At 39.7% G+C, this 16,223-nt stretch overlaps 1 protein-coding gene across 4 annotated transcripts in view; it reads right to left on the bottom strand.

Moving 5' to 3' along the window:
* Nucleotides 1-1,382: 1,382 nt before the first annotated feature.
* The window catches only part of CDK14 (cyclin dependent kinase 14), a 614,270-nt gene continuing 599,429 nt past the window's right edge, over nt 1,383-16,223 (bottom strand). For all 4 annotated transcript variants that reach the window (NM_001287135.2, NM_012395.3, NM_001287136.1 and 1 more), the window contains one exon: nt 1,383-4,808. The gene's annotated coding sequence lies outside the window, so the exon portion shown is untranslated. The remainder of the gene's footprint in view (nt 4,809-16,223) is intronic.

The following is a 16,223-nucleotide window of genomic DNA, read 5'->3' as shown; positions in this document are numbered from 1 at the left end:
CTCTACCTTGGCTACTGTGACGTCTACCTCCATGCACTCTCCCGTTCCAGAATCCAGTAGTGGAGGCAGCAACTGTCTGGAAATGCGTTTGCCTGTGTATAGACGATTTACTGCTTCAGGAGAAATAGAAGAAGCACTTGGGGGATGAAGATGCGGTCACTCTCATGAGCTTTTCTGGAGAGAAATATGCATCGGCTGAGGACACCTATGTTTGGTTTTGTGCGAAGGGTTTACAAACTGAAATCACAGAGGTTACAGGAGAAGAGCAGGTGAAGGAAAACATCAGGTAGCTGCTCCTGGTGGGTAAACGTCTGCCCAGAAGAAAGCTGGGAGTCTTGGGGGTCCTCTTAACATGGAACGTGAACTTGTGAGACACTTTTTTTTTTTTTTTTTTTTTTTTTTTTTAGGCAGAGTCTCTCTGTTGCCCAGGCTGGAGTGCAGCGGCGCTATCTCGGCTCACTGCAACCTCCGCCTCTGCCTCCCGAGTAGCTGAATTACAGGCGCCCGCCACCATGCCCGGCTAATTTTTGTATTTTTAGTAGAGATGGGGTTTTGCCTTGTTGGCCAGGCTGGTCTCATACTCCTGGCCTCAGATGATCCACCCGTCTCAGCCTCTCAAAGTGCTGGGATTATAGGCATGAGACACTGCGCCCAGCCCGTGAACACTTTTAAGTCACCAAATACCTGGCATGAACATTATTAGCAATTTATCAAATCATGGGGGCCTGTTTGGGGTTATGACATATCTGACAAGAAGGAAAAGGTGATGATGGAAAAGGGACTGGCCTCCCAGGTTGGCACTGTCAATCCAAACGTGGGATCCCAAGAATGCCCTGCAGTTTCAGGTGCAGATGCCTCCTGCGTGGTGTTCAGGGAAGTAAGCTCAGTTCAGAAAGAACAGTCATGCTTCTTGCAGAACACCAGTACACTCAAGCTTTTGTATTTGTATTCAGTGGAGGGTAACCTACTCACCCCATCTTTGAATATGTGCAAAAAATAGAGAAGGAGGCAATAAAAGATAAATAGGGCTGCCATTAAACAGAACCAGAAAGGCTCCAGATCCATCTGAGATGGGCAGAACATGTGACATGTGTGAACATCAGGAAGGGGCTGGGGGAACTGTGAAGATCCTGCAGCTCACAGATCTGTTTCGCATGGTCTCTACTCCTTTACATAAATTTGGCACAGCAAATCAAGGAAAGGGGAGGGTTTAACAGACTCCTGGACCATTCCAGATAACTCACTCCTTCCCACATATTGTGTATTTGTTCTTATTTCACTGTGTAAGAATGGTTGTGTTCAAGAGGTTTTTAAGTCAATGTTTCTTTGATATGGTATATGCTCTTACTGGGCATCCACCAAGAAGATGTACCTAGAACATGTACGGAGATTCTGCTATACTTTATTCCATATCATGTTACAAGAAAACAACAGTGACAGCTGACAAACCATTACATCTTTCATAATACAGACAAATTACAACTGGTAACAAATATGCAACATGTATTATTCCATTCTCCTTACTATGTGTCATTTGAAAGTATAATAGTTTTCTGAATAATGCTACCACATTTCTTAGGTACCAATCCCCTGTTAGAAAGTACACATCTCAGTGCATCATACAAAAAAAAATAAAAGATAAAAGGAAAACTTTAAAAATCCACTCCCAACTAGAGAATGTAGGTTTTGTATGTGCCTCTAAAATATGCTGCTGTGGGAAAAGGAATGAGAATAGAAGATTGCTTATTTTATTGATTTTTTTGGTGTGTTTTTGGTGTATGAGAAAAGTACAAGGCAGTAACATATACAGTTTCCTCTGCCTACAAGCCAGTAAGGGAGATGGAAGTTATGCGCAATTATGCAGCATATTCCTATGTATAAGGGGCAGGCAATAATCTACCCCAGTATATACAGCCTAAACATCCTCTTATATAACAAAGATTACAAAACCAATAATATTCACAGATGAGTATCATATAGACGCATAACCTAGGGTATTGATTATACTGGCTGTCATATACACACTGAGGAAAGGATACCAAGAGGCCTCACTTTCTTTGCAAGCCTGGAGGTGCTCCTAGAAACTTTCTAGTCACTCTTGCGAGGTAGAAATCGCTTCTCACCCCAGAATCAGTGGATGGACAGCCACCCTGCTTTATGTACCCTATTTTTTGCTGAGTACTGCAAACATTTTTTTTCACATCCTATGTATCTCATATTTTTAAGTCAACAAAACTGTTATTTTAAGAAAATGGGAATTAAGTGTCAAATCTCCTTTCAGAATACTGTGTGTGCAGTGATGTGCTAAGGTGTTTGTACTATTCTTACCATCTGTTTGAGTTCAGGCTATTCCTTCATATAAAAATAATCTCACAAAACATTCCAGTGCTTTCTCAATAGAATAATAAATCTGCTAATCAACACAGTCTGAATTGATTTTCATGACTGCCCACAAGGAGGGCAGAAGAGAAAAGAAGCAGAGGGAGAATATGATTGCAAATAGGGGAAGGAGAGAGGGAGGGAGGGAGTGAGAGGGGTTTGGGGGGAGAAAGAGAAAGAAAGAGACAGAGAGAGAGAGACACCAAACTTTGGATTTCCTGTATGGGTGGCAAGGATAGGTACTCAAAACCTCCTGACCTTCTGAGAGGCATGTCTCTGTAACAAAACAGATTTCTCCGTCCACTGAGTAATGTTATATTTCACTTCTCCGAAGAAGCTGCCTACGACAGGGAGATATAACTCTAATAGCCCTAATTGAAGTCTTTCAACATTAAATATTTTCAAATTTTCAAGTTAAAAACCTTATTAAAAAGCAACATTTAATCATCAGTTGCTCTTGCTTTAAACTTAGTGAAATACAAAGGTCATGCCTCTTCTCCAAATGAATGATTAAAAACAAATCACAGGAAAGTCCATTTTTAATTGCATGTAAAGTTTTCTCCCTATGTTTTCTTTAAGAAATCCTAATTTAAGTATACTTTAAATCAAAATACCTCTAAAGACTTCCAGTGGGTTGGAATGTATGAAAGAGGAATGGAAAAGATTTCTAGGTAGCAAACAGTAGACATTCTACACTTGGGTGTTTTCTGCTCTCTTTAAAACCAATCAGTAAATAATTCCTTGCTTAGCACTTAAAAGTTTACCATGAATGCTACATCTGGATAGGATGAACTATGACTTTGACATAACCATCCATACTCCACTCCGCAGACAGTACCATTTTAAAGTTTAGGAATTCTGGATCCAGTTTCCTTGGTGTATTGAGCTTGATTATAGAAAAGCTTTACCCTCACCCAACTCTCAGAAAAAGTCCTTGTCAACCTGGCTCCTAATTCCTAGTCTTGATCCTAAAACAGTATGACACATTTCAAGCACTCACTCATTCTCTCCTTCTTTCTGACTAATAGGAAAATGTAAGACACTGTACACAAAGGTATTTCCATAGGAATTTGTGTGTAGAGGAGCTAGGTTTCATGCTTTAGATGAAGTCTCCTAACTGTCCCCTTGGCCGCAGTACTACTGGGCATTCTGCAGCGAGGCCTGCCCCACTGGGAGCCGGCCTGCATCAGGCAGCCCTCCCTCCAGATCAAAGCAAAAGACATGCCTGGTCCACTTTTCTCCAGTGTCACATACTCGCCTTCATCCTCCAAGGTCCCTCAACTCCTTGAGTAAGGGAAGCTGGCCCATTCCCTTTTTCATCTTTAAAGCAAGATTCCTGCATTGTTTCTAAAACCTGCATTTGAACAGTTATTCCAGGAGATGTCTTAAAGTAAGAACCCAATGATGTCTTCCAATTGGCTTGGAATGTTTTTTTAAAATGTATTTTTTTTAAAGGTGCTTTGTTGTAACTAAGCAAACTTTGAACTGGATCACTTTGTAATTTACTTTGTAAGCCCTAACAGGCCAAGACTGCTTTCAAGGCTCATCCAGCAGATATAGTTCTTTTGCACCAGATTTAAAACATTCTGTTCCTCACTCTTTTCTCCAGTTAGAAAATACAAAGTGTAACAGAATGGATGGAAAAAAATTAGATGTTGACAAGACCCAGACACAAAAAGTTACCTCAATCTCCAGAGGTTGAAATGTAAGCAATTTATCCCTGTCTTTGTTCTTAACGTTTGATAATTGTTTTTTCAATTCCAACCTATTCAAAAAACAGTCATGCTATGTGGCTTGAAAATGCTAAGCAGAGTCCAATATCCTATATATAAATGTGCAGTTATTTCCAAGTAAAAAAACCACATTTGCAAAATTACCTCAAAAGGTAAGCAACAGGTGGGGCCCCACAGTCCGGGGCCAAGTTGTCAAGTCAGAGAACAGGGGTTTGCTTTAGCAGAAAATTTCCTTCCTAGTGGTTGCAAAATGTGCACTGCTCTCAAAGAAAACACACATTGTTTTATGCCACTCTGTGGCTTTCAAGTTCAGACATTACTGAAGAAGTGTGAACACCAAATGTGTTGTCTTAATGTATTTAAGACATGGCTGGTGAAAGCATAAAAACCTTTACAGAGACGCTGTGCTGCAGAGGGAAATCAAACAAAATCAAACACAAAAGACTGAAAAGAATACATGCCATGTATCAGTAAGCAAAGCTTAATCTTCACGTAGTTCTTGGAAATCACAAGGTATCCAAATGCGTGCAAGGTTTTAAATAAATTGCAGAGAAAACAGGGTCTTGCCAGCTTCAATTTTCTTGTAAGTGAAATCCACCACAGGGAGCGAAAGAAAACTGATCCATGATTCCCTTCATATTATTGGCCTCTTCATTAATGTTTTTTTTTTCTTCCCAGAATGATGACAACTTAATCCTGGAAGGAGGAAAATAGAAAATTGTTATATAAAAAATCTACACCATTCATTTCTTCTAAATTACATGAAACATCAAAATTGGTCAGTCCAAAGTGAGTCCACTGATGTTCCCCACAGCCACTCCAAACACATAAATATGAAGCAGAATAGCCTCCTTAACCAAAAAAAAATCCTTCTAATATGATAAACAAATGTTCTGACTACACTTTCCTCTCTTAAAATCATTTAACTCCACCAACTGAATTGGTCTATCTTCCTCTTGGATATTTAGAGAAAAAGAAATTCAGCAAATTTCCTTCCCTAAATCATTAGTAGCAATACTGGTCTTAATTAAGTGCCTGTAGCATCATACAGACCATTAAAAGGACGTATCATTATGTTCATTTTTATGAACATGAAATAGAAAAACGGATCACAAACACGCTTTTAAAAAAATTCAGCTGTATATAATTCCTTGGTTGCCTATTATCATTATTTCAGTTCCAGCAGAATGAAAATTGGCCAGTGTGACCTGAATTGGCAGCCTCTTCCCAACATCCTGTATAGGACTGCGTGTTTCCAATAATGCCTGCTTAAAACAATAACAACTTGTGGGTGAATGGTTCAAGCAAAAAGAAGGAAGCTTCACTCTGTCCCTTTCCGTACTTCCTTTTGGCCCTTAAGCATTTTCATTGAGTCTCCAGGATGGGAAAAGAATGCCTTGCCAGGATGGGTGGAAACACTCCCAGGTTCAAGGCACATAGCTGAGGGATCGGTTCATTAGCTGCACTGAATCCCAGAACCAGTTCCTTAGCTAAGTTTAGAAGCTGCTGGTCACTAAGGCCTGGTGAGGCCTTCATGTCTCCAGCTACAGGGCCATAGAGTCATCTTCCCAGATGCAGGGGGAACCCTGGATGGTGCCTGATCCCAAAGGTTTTGTCCTTTTTTTGAGACTTCACAGTGCACCTGTCCTGCTGCTGCACACACAGGCTGTGGCATCAAGGACATCACCCCTGCATAGCAGCAACCCAGCAATACCTTGTCCAGATAGCAGAAATTCCACTCCTATGCTCAGGAACCATTAAAATAGTGGCCGGGCACGGTGGCTCATGCCTGTAATCCCAGCACTTTGGGAGGCCGAGACGGGCAGATCACGAGGTCAGGAGATGGAGACCATCCTGGCCAATATGGTGAAACCCCGTCTCTACTGAAAATACAAATACTAGCCAGGCGTGGTGGTGTGTGCCTGTAGTCCCAGCTGCTTAGGAGGCTGAGGCAGGAGAATGGCATGAACCCAGGAGGCAGAGGTTGCAGTGAGCCGAGATTGTGCCACGGCACCCCAGCCTGGGCAATAGAGCAAGACTCCCTCTCAAAAAAATAAAAAAAATAAAAATAAAAAGAGCATTCTCTCCACCATCTGCTCATTTCCCCCACTTACTATGGTGAGTTTCTGGCAAGTTAACTTTCCATTCTTTTTAAAAATTGAAGCAAAATTTATATAAAAAATTAATCATTTAAAAGAATATAATTTAGTGGCATTTAGTGCATTCACAATGCTGTGCAACTATCATCTCTATTTAGTTCCAAAACATCTTCATCACCCCCAAAGGAGATCCTATATCCTTTAAGCAGTCACTCCCATTCTCTCCTTGTCCCAGCCCCTGACAACTATTAATACTAATGTTTCTGTCTCTATGGATTTACCTGTTCTAGATATACAAATGGAATCATATAATATGCTACCCATTTTGTCTAGCTTTTTTCACTTAGCATGATGTTTTTGAAGTTCATCCATGTTGTAGCATGAATCAGTACTTCATTATTTTTTAGGGTTGAATAATATTCTATTGTATGAATATACCACAGTTTGTTTATCCATTCATTGGTTGATTTATATTTGTGTTGTTTCATCTTTTGGCTAATAGTGAATAGTGCTGCTCTGAATATTCATGTATAAGTATTTGTTTAAACACTGTTTTCCATTCTTTTGGGTATATATCTAGAAGTGGAATAGCTAGGTCATATGGAAATTATATGTTTAACTTTTTGAGGAACTGCCAAACTGTTTTCCATCATGGCTGTACCATTTCACATTTCCACCAGCAATGCACAAGGGTTCCAATTTTGCCAAAACATTTGTTTGTTTAAAAAAAATTATAGCCATCCTAGTGGGTATGAACTGATTTGCACTTGCATTTCCCTAATGATCGATGATGTTGGGCATCTTTTTTTTTTTTTTGACTGGGTCTTGCTCTGCCACCCAAGCTGGAGTGCAGTGATGTAATCCTAGCTCACTGCAGCCTTGACCTTCCTGGGCTCAGCTGATCCTCCCACCACAGCCTCCCAAGTAGCTGGGACTACAGGCACACATCACCATGCCTGGCTAATTTTTTATATTTGTAGAGACAGGGGTTCACCATGTTGTCCAGGCTGGTCTTGAACTCCTGGGCTCAAGCCATCTGCCTGCCTTGGCCTCCCAAAGTGCTGGGATTACAGGCATGAGCCACCATGCCCAAGCTGTTGGGGACTCTTTCATGTGGCTGTTGGCCATATGAATATCTTCTTTGGAGAAATGTCTATTCAAGTCCTTTGATCATTTTTAAATTGGGTTGTCTTTTCGTTGTTGAGTTGTAGGAGTTCTTTACACATTCTGGTTAATCCCTTATAGTATGATTTTTCTCCAATTCCATAGGTTGCCTTTTCACTCTGTTAACTGTGTCCTTTGATGTACAAAAGTTTTTAATTTTGGCAAAGTGCAATTTATCTTTTTTTTTCTTTTGTTGCTTATATTTTTGGTGTTATATCTAAAAATCCATTGTGAAATCTAAGGTTATGAAGATTTACCCCTATATTTTCTTCTAAGAGTCTTATAGTTTTAGCCCTTGCATTTAGATCTTTGGTCCATTTTGAGTGAAGTTTTGTATATGGTATGAGGTAGGGGTAACCTTCTATTCTTGAGAGTTCTCTGTCCTCAAAAACAAAAGCCTTAAGTTTCCAGGAGAGGCCTGGGGGTAAATGGATACCACACATAGGCCCTTTGCTACCTCTACATCCCAACAGTTATTATCTCAAATCCTTGCTGCTTGTGGGCAGTTCTCCATAAGGCTCACTTGACCACTCCTCATCCTTGCTTGATTGTGCAGATATACCTTTATCAAACCTCTTCTTAAAGAAGTCACCACCCTAGCAAAAATAATTACATGGGAACAAACTCCTTTGTCCCCAGCCTACCCTTGTTCTTTCAGGGAAACGAAGAACGTGCTCTACATGCTGCTCCATGTAACTATGCATTCTGATCTAGGCACTGGCATCTTTTTGAGGACCATGACATCAAGAAGAGAAAGCACTCATCCTCATAGTACTTCAAGCACATTTGTCCACAGGCATCCTCAGCCAATCCTCAACCCCACTATCAGCCTTCACATTTTTATTAAGCAGATGACAAAACTGTCCTTTTTCTTCCATGTACTTTAAACAGCAGTTGAGATTCCAGCTCTTCCTGGAAGCCTGCCCACTCCAGCTAAATGGGAGCTTTAGGTCTGTCCTGATATCTGCTTGCCCAGGCATGAAGTTCCTACAACTATATCCAAATGATGTAGTCTTTCCTGGCTCTCTCCTCTTTTACCATTTTAATCAACAGAATGGAGACCTGGTACCCACAATGACTTCCTGAACCAGAGACTTCATTTAGTCCCTCCAGAGGTGTGAAGACACTTCCTGTGAAGGAGCAAGTCAGGGGACAGGTGGCATCAGTATGTTCTTGATTAAGCTTGATTTTGTAGACTGCTGTGTCCCCAGAGCACAGCCCAGGCCCGGCTCAGGCACTCAATATACAGTTGTTGAATGAATAAAGGGGAAATTGTAGAATCAGAAGACTTGGTGGTGAAATATGTTCTCATATGTAGAGTTCCCTATGGCACATTCACTGAAGGCAAATGTGATGCCTGTGAAATGGCACAGTACTGCACACACTGCAGGCCATTCACAGATACACCACCAGCCTGAGGATGGTTGGTAGGATTAACACCTTCCTGTAGGCAAAACTTACATTTTTTTTTTTAACTCCATGACATTATATTTGAAAGGAATGATTTGATTTCCAGTACATCTAATTTCACGTAACAATAAACTATGTTGTCACCACAGTCAATGGCATATTCACTATCCTGTTGGGTTAAGATGTTTTTTAGACATCGATGATGTTTGTTCTTGCCTTGTCCTGATTCTTTGAGTGTAATCTCTAGGAGAATCACATGTACCTAACCTAGGGCATAAACAGAATTGCATAATAAAGGATAATATGTAATAATAGTAATTGGATAATAAACAGTGAACACAGTGATTAGGTTTGGGCTTAGACATTTAATGGAAGAAGCCAATAATGAGAACAGAAGAGAGGCGCCAATGAGAGGCAGACTCTTTCCCATCTCTGTGAGATGACTCCGAATGGCCCAAATTGTGCCAGCTACCCTGCCTGGTGCTGTTAGCCAGCAGCACGGGATGTCCCTTCTCCCTCCTTGAGCAGCATCAGCTTCAATTTTCAATAAGTGCATATAAGGTAGGTCAGATTTGCTGGAAAATTTTTAAGAAAATCTAAATGCAATCATGCATTTGATGAATGGGGATTTAGGTGGAAGGAGAGAGGGTATACTACAATCACAGGGAAGTGAAATATAATATCAATGTAATTCTTTCCCTTACCTTTATTATTAAAACATGTTGCATGCACAACACAAATGAACAGTGTACATGAATTATAAGCTCAACTATGTGCATAGCCACTCATAGGTATATAAATCATAAGATTAGTGGATGCCATTTTTATCTTGCTTTCAGCTTTTACAATGTTCTTTCTCTCTAGAAATGAATGTTTTAAACAAGAAATTGGATTTGATTGATAAAATCCTTATTCAGAAATATCTACATAGAGCTTCTTGGCTATAAATATTAATTAATTGGATCGCCCGTACCCATAATGCAACTTTGTTCTGACCCATGTGCCCTATGAACTAGATATTTTTTGGATTCAATTTTCTTAAAACCAACTGTCAGCATCATGTGATGGAGGAGATGAAAAATGAAAATGAGCAGTCCCGCTGTGCAGGTGGGTGACCTGTGGGAGAGAGTCTGCCTGGTAGGATTTTTACACGAACCATCAGACACAGACCAATTGATTAGATCATCTCATACCCGCCACCAACTAGGCTCAAGAGACTAATTAGAGAGAGTACTGCCTGCGCAGGCACCCCATTGACACCTAATTTGCTCAGCCAAAGCCTTTGGGGAAAATGTATTATCTCTGCAGCTGCACTTCATGCATTTCTGATTTGAGGCATAAGCAAGGAGTGCTTCATCACTCTTTTGAGCAAACTGAATGTAGAAGCCCTTAAGTGCTAAATGCAAGCAAACAGACCCAAATTAAAAACGAGCCAGGCTCTTTCTAATTCCCTCTGTGCTCCTGTTAAATCTCTGTGTGTACATACACACACACACCACTACACACATGCATGCAGTTTACATGCCGGAGGGACAACATCGCTGAGGACCCCCACTCAGTGTGCTTCGATGTGATCAGGTGGTCTGTGTTTCACTGGCCTATTTATGCACTCTAAGGTTCTCCGTTTGTTTGACTGTGTTTTGTTGTTTTTTTTTTTTCCTGCTGCATTGCCCTTCCTCAAAGTACTCTTTTTTCTACAAGACAACTCTGGCACATTTTTTCCCCCTCTAAGCCTCACTGGAGAGAAGTGATTATTTTGGTTCCAAATTAAAACAACTGTAGGTTTTCCTTTCATCGCCTAAATTGTGAACAGGATATTCTCCAGGATGTATGTGAAGCTGTGAGGTAATCCGCTCATTTCTATTTAGGAGACTTCTTTGTAAATATGCCTAACAGAGAAGAAAAAAATACTAACATTTGACAGAAAGAAAGCTACCTCATAACAGTAAAGACAGTATAAAGCTATAATACGTTTAGTTTCTCTTCAAGAAAAAAATAATTATAATTTGATCAAATTTAGCTTTATGTATTAGCTTTAGAATAAAACTACTTCCAACCTCCTTCTCAAATGTAGAATTCAAAATATTGATACATAAGGAGGCATTTAAAGATAGGCACGCAATTAATTACATGCTTTCAAAAAGGAAATAAAAATAAATAATCCAGGTAATAATGAAAAAATTAGGATAACTTTGTGCCAAATTTAGTGGATGTATAATGAGTTTCCATAATGCTAGAATGAAAGAGAAAAACAGGACCATGGTGGTGTTCTATACTGGACTTACTGATTTTGTGCCTGTCCAGTCACATGTTGGATGAATTATTCTACCCACATGTTCTGGTAAATTACAATTCTGCTTTGTAATTTTTCACATTTAGCCTATTCTTAAGAGTTTAATGAAAATAAAAAAAATCATTTTAGCTGTATGCCTTTTAAACTAGCATTCAAAATGGGCCTTACTTGGGCACCCAGACAGTCAGAGGATCCCAGTGACCACTGGAGTAGATATCCTTCTGAAGGTATATGGAGAGTGGTTGTAGGGGAGATGTTTGAACACAGTCAGAAAACCAGGGCCTTAACTAAAGCGCGTAACTGTTTAAAGAATTTATTCTGATTTTGTCGAGAACAAAGTCCAGAGAGATTCCCTTCCCCAAGTACCATGTCAAGAAGGTTTCACATGAACAATGTCCCGGAAAAAGAAAAAAACAAACTTACAAGACGGTGCCACTTTGAGTTTGGTTTTGCTTAAAATACCAAGAAAAACAAACAAATTGTTTTACCTAATTCATCTTCAAGAAGCATTTCCTATTATAGAGAATTAAGTTCACACATAAGGTTGTTAAACCCTAAGCACCTAGGCAAACACAAATCTCTCTAAAGTAAAAATATCAAATACATGTATACACACACATATTTGTATATATAACACATAGTCAAATTTTATACTGTAGATTTTATATGGATGCTGGATTCAAAGTGGTAAGTTTTAAACTTCATACTGAATTCAGAAAATCTGGGACAGCTTAATTTCCTTATTCTTTGAGTGAATTTAATGTGTTATAATTTGGCTAGAAATACAGGTTTTCTTTTAGAATATCTGAAATCAGTGTTTTCCAGTTTCTCTGACACTGCATTGAGGCTCCTTGAGAAGGGGGTAGGAGTTGGAGGAAATGGTATGAAACAGAAGGAAGTAGAAAATTAGTCAAACCTACTTCTGTAACTTATTTCTGATTTATGATAATCATGCTTCTTCCCCCTAGAAGAGAACACATCTTTGAGACCAGCAAGAGAATATTAATTAAAATGAATGCAGAGATAGTCAGGCTTTGTTTTAAGCTTAACAGAAGGCCCATCATTCAAAATAGCCCAAATCCTTTAAGTTGAAAGCTGTTTGGTAACATCCATATGGATGCACAATGCACTAATTGCAGCAACTTTGCACATTTTAAGCTTCATGCCAAAGTGGTGATTTTAATTAAAAAATTTTAGGCAAAGCTGTAAGTCTAACATTTCAAAACAAAGCATTTCTCACATGAGAAGACTGACTTAACATATCATTTTAATAATCACCATTATCAACAAACATTTATTGAAATCCTCATTAAAGACCAGGCATTATATGATGTGTAATTAGCCTTGATTGAAAAGAATGTTCTATTTTAATGGTGTGACTGTTTATTAAATCAGATTTATGCAAATGGAAAACACTGGTCATATTTTAGATACACATGGACAAAAAGGATGGCAATTCTGGGATTTCTTCCTGTCTCAGCCAATGGGAAAACAAACATAGGGAAAAGTACTGATTTAGGTCTTCTTAGATACACCAAGGCATGTTTAATCTTTTTTTTTAATAAAAAAACATATAATATTGTATACATATATCATTTTTAAAAAAGATTAAACATATCATAAAGATAAATAAAAACTGGGAGGTTTGAAGTAGTTCATTGAAACAGTTTTAATGACAAGGTTAATAGAAAAGCCTTCACCAAAGGTGGCATATTCTTTTCAAAGATTTCATGTTATTTGAAGCCTTATTTGCTCAGCATACCTTTACAAGTGACTGACTCCCAAGTGTTTATAAGTTAATTAAATAGGATTCTGACCCTTAACCCTCCTTATATATTACAGTCCTACTAAACTATATTTAAACAAACCAAATACAAAGTCACTCCCCAGAGTGTGCATTTTTTCTCAACTTAAAATGCATATACACAAATCTCATAAAACAACTAAAAACCAAGTATTTAATAGAGAAACACAAGGGTTCATGTCTGATTTTAATTAAAAGATTTTAGAGGAGATGTGACTCTACTTTGGGTGGATTTCTTTTTTCCAAATTAAAACTTGTCTGGTATTATTATCCAATGTATTGCAGCAGTTTTTCATGCTTAGGGTTTCGAATTCCAAACATACAGTCACCTACGACTTTGAACCTGTTTTGTGAACCATCTTATTTAGCGGAAACATGCAAAACAAAATATTCATTTCTGTAGCATAAATCAGATCACATATAATTTTGCTTAATACAGAATGATGTCAGCATGAACCAGAAGTCATGTTGGTTCATGGGAGATTTCTTTCCAATGTTATTTTGAGTCACCAAGTAACAGCAGCCATGAGCAAGATACATAAATACAGTGCATGCAAGCCCAAGAGGCCTGTAGTACTGCATCCCACATGCTTTCTTTTCGTTTGGTTTGGTTACATGTTCTGTCTTGGAATTAACTGTTTATTGTACAATCTTCCTGGATCCTTGAGCATTTTGCCCTTGCATCCAAAATTGGGCAGCCTCAACCCTTACATCAAGTTTATTTCACCTGTAAACTCTGCTAGCATTTTAATTTTTACTGCTTTTCTGAGTGCTGCGCTTATCAAGTTCAATATATTTGAAGTGGACTACCCTTTACCTTATTTCCCCCCCACCACAAAAGCCCTGCAACTTTTACTGTAGTATTCTGCTGAACACAGGTGGGAACACAGATGTCATATTACAGCAGAAATATCTATTCTTGTGAGGACACATCCTGACAGTGACATGAAGTGACACATTGTGCATACCACTATAGCACATCGTTTCCACCAGGAAATGTCTGCAGACAGTGATGAGGGTCCAACAACTCCAAGCTAAGGGTGGCGGGTGCTAGACAGCTCGCTAAGCCCCCTGCCAACTCCCTCCCATGTACCTGCTTCACAACACGAAGCTGCTTCACAACAGTGCCAACGAACAACTGATCGACCAAGGACAAATCACTGAATTCATCCGTGGAAGCGAAGCTCTGTGTACTACATGTAAAGCCCTCCAACACGCACTCCATGCAAAATTATAATTGGTTAAAGTATTTTGATACTAGTTATCCCACCATAGCATGTTGCTATATTTCTATAGAATCCAAGATGAGCTGTCAAAGACATAATTAACGGAATGTGTACCATTATGAGAAATAAATACCAGCATTTTGTGCTCATGTGGAATTTTCTCCTATCCAAAGTACTTTCCCATGTATTCTTCCACTTAATAAAAGTGCCTGAAAGATAGGACCTTTGAAGAAAGGTTCTGTTTGGAAGATAATAGATTTTGTGAACTCAAATTTTTAAGAAGTTCTAATCCTTTTAGTCATGATTCAGTGTCTTCTGAAATATCTGCAATAGGAGGTACATTGCAGATTTAAATACCAGAGCAGTCATGATAGAACCCACAACCTTTACAGGAACTAGGGTGACCAGCTGTCTCTGAACTGAGGAGGTTTCCAGGATTTGGGACTTTTTTTTTTTTTTTTTTGAGACAGAGTCTCTCACTCTGTTGCCAAGGCCAGAGTTCAGTGGTGTGATCTCGGCTCACTGCAACCTCTGCCTCCTGGGTTCACGTGATTCTCCTGCCCCAGCCTCCAGAGTAGCTGGGACTACAGGCACACGCCACCATGCCCAGCTAATTTTTGTGTTTTCAGTAGAGACAGGGTTTCACCATGTTGGCCAGGCTGGTCTTGAACCCCTGGCCTCAAGTGATCCACCCACCTTGGCCTCCCAAAGTGCTGGGATTACAGGAGTGAGCCACCACTCCCGGCCTAGGATTTGGGACTTTTGGTTCTAAAATGTGGGTGGTGGGGGCAGTGCAAAATGGAACAAGCTGGTCACCAAAGGAACAACAGGATTAATATGCACAGTAGTGACTTCCAAGTTTATTATAAAAACAGAGGTAACAAGGTTTGGCACTTTATTACACGAACTAAAATGAAAAGTATAGTGACACTCCTATCTGAAAGTGTGAGTCACAAAAGTTTTACAAATCTGAGACACTGAGAATGGTAAAAGGTGAAAATAAAATGGGAACTGAGCCAGCAGCCTTCTCTCTTCTCACCTCTCCAGACTGTCCAGGGATCTTCCACTTTTTTCCACTTATCTCCTTGGAAGAGACACAGTCTTGACTCTGTGATTTAGGCTTTCTTCTCTGTTTTTTGTTGAAGTCACAGTCAATCACATTCTGCTCTAATGAGGTTGTTGAACTTAAGACCATCAACTTGTTCCCCACCACAATTCAGAAAAAATCCATCTACTTAAATTCACCCATGCCTGTGCAGTGTGGCATGGAGGAGATGGCTAAGGCCACCACTCTGAAATGAGAAGAAGTACAAGTGTTGCCTGAATCACTGCCAGAAATAACCCCTGCTATAAGATCAGTGGTGAAGGAGCAACAGCATCAATTGATTTGCCTAAATCAATTCAGGAAACATTTGCTGAACATCTATTTTTAAGCAAAGAAGAGTGTTTAGGGTGAAAGAGGAGAGTACTACATGGACTATTAAAAATGGATTCCAGTGGTGTTCTGGAACTGGCTTGACCTGCCTCAAGAGATGTGAATGTGAAACTTTTCAGGAATTTTGCCAGTTGTTAAACACAGCCACTCTTGAAATCACCCATCATGGGAGTATCTACACGACAGGATATAGACAAACGTGACCAATCAGGACTATTCTACTCTCTTTCTGGAGAGCCAACTGTTAAATATTTACCAACATGCCACTGCTGTCTTTAAGGAGCTCAAGATTGGGAAGGGGAGGTGGCTAGGACAACAGCTAACTATAAGTCAACATGGAAAATACAAGTGCTATCCTAGAGGTGCCACTGCAGTGAGGAATAACTGAAAAGTACGTAACAATTTAATGTCTAGAAAGGGAGAAAGAAGGGCATTCTTGCACAGGCAAGGACTCTGGGAAACACAGACTGGCCAATGGGACAGACACATGTTTGCCTGTTAGGATACAGATGCAGACAGAGACACAGGAAAAGCTGAAAGGTAGGTGAGGGTGGTGGAGTAAACGGCCTGAAATGTCCTGCTTAGGGGTCTGGGCTTTCTTCTATATGCAGAGAGGAGGTGTTGGAGGCTTTGGGTGGAGAGTCCCAGGTTCCAACCCAAGGGCAGTCATACAGTTTTCA

Source organism: Homo sapiens, chromosome 7 (genome assembly GCF_000001405.40).
Source record: "Homo sapiens chromosome 7, GRCh38.p14 Primary Assembly".
Lineage (NCBI taxonomy): Eukaryota > Metazoa > Chordata > Mammalia > Primates > Hominidae > Homo > Homo sapiens.
Note: the sequence above shows the minus strand (reverse complement) of the source record. Positions and strands in the feature narration are given on the sequence as shown.